The 6,231-nt window shown below is 53.9% G+C and overlaps 1 protein-coding gene across 1 annotated transcript in view, besides 2 other annotated features; it reads left to right on the forward strand.

Annotated features, from left to right (window-relative positions):
• Positions 1-6,231, forward strand: part of NMT1 (N-myristoyltransferase 1) — a 47,700-nt gene that overhangs the window by 38,071 nt on the left and 3,398 nt on the right. Inside the window, exons 8-11 of the mRNA NM_021079.5 lie at positions 18-126; positions 3,564-3,734; positions 4,322-4,489; positions 5,472-5,609. Coding sequence (NP_066565.1) covers positions 18-126; positions 3,564-3,734; positions 4,322-4,489; positions 5,472-5,609 — 586 coding nt within the window. The remainder of the gene's footprint in view (positions 1-17; positions 127-3,563; positions 3,735-4,321; positions 4,490-5,471; positions 5,610-6,231) is intronic.
• Positions 154-203: an enhancer, noted in NCBI's record as "active region_12273". NCBI's record gives its function as "activates an Ori minimal core promoter by ATAC-STARR-seq in GM12878 lymphoblastoid cells {active_cell/tissue: GM12878}" and the evidence as "EXISTENCE:reporter gene assay evidence [ECO:0000049][PMID:35858748]".
• Positions 4,139-4,639: an enhancer, noted in NCBI's record as "H3K4me1 hESC enhancer chr17:43180894-43181394 (GRCh37/hg19 assembly coordinates)". NCBI's record gives its function as "activates a minimal SCP1, AML or CMV promoter by ChIP-STARR-seq in primed H9 embryonic stem cells {active_cell/tissue: H9 hESC(primed)}" and the evidence as "EXISTENCE:reporter gene assay evidence [ECO:0000049][PMID:30033119]".

The raw sequence follows: 6,231 nt of genomic DNA on the forward strand, positions 1-6,231 counted from the left end.
CATTTGTGTCCCCACAGGTATTGGCATCGGTCCCTAAACCCACGGAAGCTGATTGAAGTGAAGTTCTCCCACCTGAGCAGAAATATGACCATGCAGCGCACCATGAAGCTCTACCGACTGCCAGAGGCCAGTGCTGCCCCGGGTGGTGGGCAGGGGGCAGAGAGAGGGCAAGGAGAGCCTGGCTGTCAGCAGGAGAGAAGGGCTCTGGGTGGAGAGGGAGCTTTCTCCTACTGGAAAAGCGAACCAGCCCATAGTCTTCAGATTTCCTGGACTTTCTATTTCTGTTATCTGAAGCAGGATTTTATTTTAGTTTAACTTTCTCAGTTCCTCTGAGTCTGTGCCTGGACTAGCTTCTCTGCCATCTGTTGAAAGGCTCAGAGAACACCTATTCTCTGTAATTTTAGCCTAAGTAAAGCATAAATAGAATGATGAATCCACTTAGTGAACCTTCATACACACGGCAGCGCGTTCCAAAGCCCAGCGCAGATGCACTACAGGGTCTGTGACGCCCCTCTGCCGGGTCAGGTAAAGGGTGACCTGAGCTTGTGAGGGATCCCCGATTTCTAATCCCAATTTCCCCACCCAGATTTGGCTGAAGGACTGGGCAACCTTAAAGTGAGCTGCTTTTCTGTTCTGGGTCTCAGTTTTCCTAGTTTCCCAAAGAAACAAATGCTCCAACTGTGGCTGGCTTCAGGTAGGGATTCTTTTTTTTTTGTTTTGAGACAGGGTCTCATTCTGTTGCCCAGGCTGGAGTGCAGTGGCACAGTCACAGCTCACTGCAGCCTCGACCTCCCAGACTCAACTGATTCTCCCACCTCAGCCTCCCAAGTAGCTGGGACTACAGGCGTGTGCCGCCATGCCCGGCCAATTTTTGTTTTTATAGAAACGGGGTTTTGCTGCCAGGCGCAGTGGCTCACGCCTGTAATCCCAGCACTTTGGGAGGCTGAGGTGGGCAGATCACGAGATCAGGAGATCAAGACCATCCTGGCTAACACGGTGAAACCCCGTCTCTAGTAAAAATATAAAAAATTAGCCAGTCGTGGTGTGGTGGGTGCCTGTAGTCCCAGCTACTTGGGAGGCTGAGGCAGGAGAATGGCATGGACCCGGGAGGTGGAGCTTGCAGTGAGCCAAGATCACGTCATTGCACTCCAGCCTAGGCGACAGAGCGAGACTCCGTCTCAAAATAAAAGAAGCCTGGGCGTGGTGGCTCACGCCTGTAATCCCAGCACTTTGGGAGGCCAAGGCAGGCGGATCACGAGGTCAGGAGATCGAGACCATCCTGGCCAACACGGTGAAACCCTGTCTCTAATAAAAATACAAAAAATTAGCTGGTCGTGGCGTGGCGGGCACCTGTAGTCCCAGCTACTTGGGAGGCTGAGGCAGGAGAATGGCATGAACCTGGGAGGCGGAGCTTGCAGTGAGCCAAGATCGCACCACTGCACTCCAACCTAGGCAACAGAGCAAGACTCCGTCTCAAAAAAAAAAAAAAAAAAAAAAAAAAAAAAAAAAGAAGGCCAGGCGCGGTGGCTCACACCTGTAATCCCAGCACTTTGGGAGGCCTAGGCGAGTGGATCACGAGGTCAGGAGATCGAGACCATCCTGGCTAACATGGTGAAACCCCGTCTCTACTAAAAATACAAAAAAAAATTAGCCGGGCTTGGTGGTGGGCGCCTGTAGTCCCAGCTACTCGGGAGGCTGAGGCAGGAGAATGGCGTGAACCCGGGAGGCGGAGCTTGCAGTGAGCTGAGATAGCGCCATTGCACTCCAGCCTGGCCCACAGAGCGAGACTCCATCTCAAAAAAAACAACAACAACAAAAAAAGGATTTTGCCATGTTGCCCAGGCTCATCTGAATTCCTGGGCTCAAGTGATCCACCCACCTCAGCCTCTCAAAGTGCTGGGATTACAGGCATGAGCCACTGTGCCCATCCCAGTAGGGATTCTTAAAATCCCTTCTCAGGTGGGCGGTGGCTCACGCCTGTAATCCCAGCACTTTGGCAGGACAAGGCGGGTGGATCACGAGGTCAAGAGATTGAGACCATCCTGCCAACATGGTGAAACCCTGTCTCTACTAAAAACACAAAAATTAGCTGGGTGTGGTATGTGCCTGTAATCCCAGCTACTTGGGAAGCTGAGGCAGCAGAGTTGCTTGAACCTGGGAGGCAGAGGTTGCAGCGAGCCGAGATCGCACCATTGGACTCCAGCCTGGCGACAGAGCAAGACTCCGTCGCAAAAAAAAAAAAAAAAAAAAAAGGAAAGAAAGAAAAAATCTCTTCTCTTTCCTCGGAGTGCTTCTTCCTATTGGTCATCAGTGCACACAGTCACTGCGTTCCTGCTGACATGAGGCTGCCTGCCTGGACTCCTCAGCCTCTAAACAGGATTGATCACTCTGAAATCAGGCTAATCCACCTAGTGATTGGGGTCATTAGTGTCCCATCTTGAGAGACTGCTGCAGTACCGTTAGACACTGCCAAAAGCACAGGCTTGGGGGACTGTGGTATGTGTCTTCTCCCTTCTGTTCTCATGACAGATCTGCCTTGCGTTCTAGGCCGGTGGGCAGGCAGGCAGAGAGCATTCTTAGAGTGCTGCAGCAGCAGAAGAATGTCTCACCCATGTCTGGGTGGAAACCCCAGCATGGCTGTGTTTTCAGTCCAGGATTTGAGGTATCATTGTGGGAGCTGCCATGTAGAATGAGGTCATTGAGCGTTCCCCTAAAGAGACGAGGATTTAGCAAGGAATTTTAGAGGCTGGAGGTTCTAGAACTGAAGTTTTAAAAGCAATTCCTGCACTGGGAAGCATTGTGTCAGGCACTGACTGAGGCCTGTAAACTGTGACACCACCCTGTTTGCAGATTGCCCCAAGGCCACCTTTGTGTATCTGAGCCTCTGGGGATGTTCTACCAGCCCCGGTATTTGCTCCACAGGATCACATGGTTTCATTCCACTGAAGCATTTTTCTAGCAAAAGCAGCTGCCGGGTGGGACGCTGACTGGGGATAAAATCCTGGGAGTATGCTGCTTTTCTTCTGAATGTAACCCACAGCCGTGTCTCTCTGGGAAGTACTGGTGTAATAGTGTCTGGGTGGGCAGACCCTGGCTGGGCCCTGGGGTCTGTCCGCGAAGTGCTCTAAGTCTAGCAGAGAAAGAGCAGTGAGTGTGGGATGGCATCAGTCACAGTTCAGTGAGAAGCCTGTGAGGACTGTTGGGCTGCGTGGGCAGAAGGTACAGCTAGAAAGGCCAACCTGGCCCAAGGGTAGAAATTCTTGTCTTCTGGGGTGGGGAGTTTGAAACAAGGGTGGAGCATGAAGGGTTGTGTTTTCTTAGGGAGTCAGCCTGGGGCCATGTAGATGGTTGATTGATGTAGCAGTCTGAGTCTGCCTGGACTAGGAGGGAAAGGGCCAGAAGATACGGAAGAGGCAGGCCCTGTGCCTGAGGAGATATGCACGGGGGTGCAGGGAGCCGCCGAATGACCAGGGATTCTCTCTTGAGGGCCTGATCTGTCCTTGCCATGGATAGATCCAGGGTGATCAGCTCATCTCACTCCATCTCTTCTGTCTTGCCTCCAGACTCCCAAGACAGCTGGGCTGCGACCAATGGAAACAAAGGACATTCCAGTAGTGCACCAGCTCCTCACCAGGTACTTGAAGCAATTTCACCTTACGCCCGTCATGAGCCAGGAGGAGGTGGAGCACTGGTTCTACCCCCAGGAGAATATCATCGACACTTTCGTGGTGGAGGTGAGTCAGGGAGTGGTGTTCCAGGTCTCTAACACGTTCCCAGAGAGGCACCCCCCTGAGTGGCCGGGTTCCCAGGGCTCGAGTGTTGGCACCTTAGACTTCCTTGACCATCCGTGTTTGGTCCTCCCTAAAAACAGGGAGTTGGTGCTTGAATTTGCTGAAAAGATACCTCTGGATCTGGCTTGAGCCCTTCTCCCCCTCTGCCCCACTTTGATAACACAAAATAGAGAGAACTGAGCCCCGCTTAATCCTTCAGGAAAGCCTGCAATTCCCTGCCTGTCCCAGCTTAACCCAGTGCTGACCAGACATAGGAGACACAGTCTGGGGGGATGTGAGCTGCAAGAAGAGGTCCCTGGCGGTGCCCATGCTGGGAAAGAGGTCTGGCAGGTTCAGCCCACGATCACGGCTCTGTCCTCAAGTGCCCTGAGCCAATGTCCCTCCTCCTCCCCACATGTCCTGTTGCAGTTTCCAGCCATTTATCTAGAGGGGCAGAGCTGCCTGAAGGTGGAGTGAGAGAAACATTTTGTTCCCGGGCCGCAGTGCCACTGTGCATGCTTGACATTGCCTCTTTATTGCCTTCCCTTCAGAACGCAAACGGAGAGGTGACAGATTTCCTGAGCTTTTATACGCTGCCCTCCACCATCATGAACCATCCAACCCACAAGAGTCTCAAAGCTGCTTATTCTTTCTACAACGTTCACACCCAGACCCCTCTTCTAGACCTCATGAGCGACGCCCTTGTCCTCGCCAAAATGGTGAGGAGCAGACGGGGGGGTCTCTGGAGATGTGCAGGGAAGAGGCAGTGGAGCCATGGTGAGCACAGCTCCCGGGACGCAGCCTCCCATGGGCTGGAGGCTCTGAGCCCTCCTCATCTGTTCTGCTTAGGCAGGGTTCCCGCAGTTTTTAGGCAGAAACTCAAAACTTGGAGGGAACAAGGAGCATCCGAAGTGAAGGCATTGAACTCCTCCTGATTCATTTCAGTGAGTTTCGTTCTCACAGGAGGCGCCACCAAGGAGCCTGAATAGCCAGGCCTTCCCTGGGAGGACAGGGCTTCTCCTCACAGCTTTCCCAGCGTGGGAAAGGGGTGATTGCTGTCTGTCGTGGTGAGTCATTGGAGCATCCAACTGCCAGTAGCGGATGGCGAGCCCGTCTGTCAGTGCTTTGCTGTGGGTTCTGGTAACCTGTGCCCAGCCCAGCCCAGCCTGCTGTAGGCAATCTGGTCCCTGCCCTGTGAGAGCTTCTGCTCCAGTTGGTGAGGTTTAGGAAGCATCTTCACAGTCTCCAAGCAACACAGCAGGTGTCATACAACATGAGGTGCACTGAGGGCCTGAGAGTTGGGGCATCCATGGAGTAAGGAAGCAACACAAACCCCATGTAGCTGACCAGAGCCAGCTTCTCAGAGGAATGGGCTCAGGGTTTGGACTCCAGAGAGGACTGTGGAAATTACTAGAGTTTCAGGGAGGCATAACCAGGAATAGCAAGAGCCCCGGCCTGGACACTGAGTACATATGTGTACACTCTGAGGGACACTGGGCAGAGGCCAGGCTGGAGGGGGCGCTCAGAGTGTCCTGAGAACCACCCGGAGAGCGGGGATTAACGTGGAAGCAGCGGAGCTTCTGAGGGAACCTTGTTCTTGTGGCTGCCCACAGGACAGCTTTGAAATGGCAGCAAAGGGGTAGGAAGGAGGCTGTCCCCACCTGTCCTCACCTGTTCTTGTTTGTCCCTGCTGCTTTGCAGAAAGGGTTTGATGTGTTCAATGCACTGGATCTCATGGAGAACAAAACCTTCCTGGAGAAGCTCAAGTTTGGCATAGGGGACGGCAACCTGCAGTATTACCTTTACAATTGGAAATGCCCCAGCATGGGGGCAGAGAAGGTAGGCGACACATAGCCAGAGTCCAGGCTGCCCGGCCCAGGGTGTCCATGTCTCCAGCAGAAACCGGGCCATGGGTTGAGGAGACAGCCGCAGTCTGGGTCCTTGTTACCTCGAGTTGAACCTTTGAAAATGCCCTCCCTCTGCTGGCCAGACCAGCAGGTCAGCGTTCCCCTCTCAGCAACTGGTGTGAGGATGGCAGAGGGGACAGAGCCACACAGTAGCACGAAGATCATCTCCAATGAGGCCTTCCCACGTGAGGGAACCGTGGAAGTTGAGTTGCCCACGGTTTGCCAGGAGGGTAGGGCTGGGGGAACTCTGAGGAGGTTTCCTCTCCTGAGCTGCTGCCCTCTTCTGGCATGACACTTTCTTAGCCCTTCCTCCCCCAGTGCCACAGGGGACATAGGGGTGAGCTGGAGCGTGGGCCAGTTTTCCCTGGGAGGTCTGATGGACGTGTGAACCCTGGTGTGGAGGTTGAGTGTGGGGCCGGCTGGGTGTGAGTCTGCTCCCACAGCACAGGCGGTGGACCCGGGCCCAGCCACTCGGAACTTCAGGGATAGGGGGTGTGGGAGAGTCTTTGGGCCACTGTCAACTCAGCTCTGCCTCTCCCTGTTGGCTTTCCTAG

Source organism: Homo sapiens, chromosome 17 (assembly GCF_000001405.40).
Source record: "Homo sapiens chromosome 17, GRCh38.p14 Primary Assembly".
NCBI lineage: Eukaryota > Metazoa > Chordata > Mammalia > Primates > Hominidae > Homo > Homo sapiens.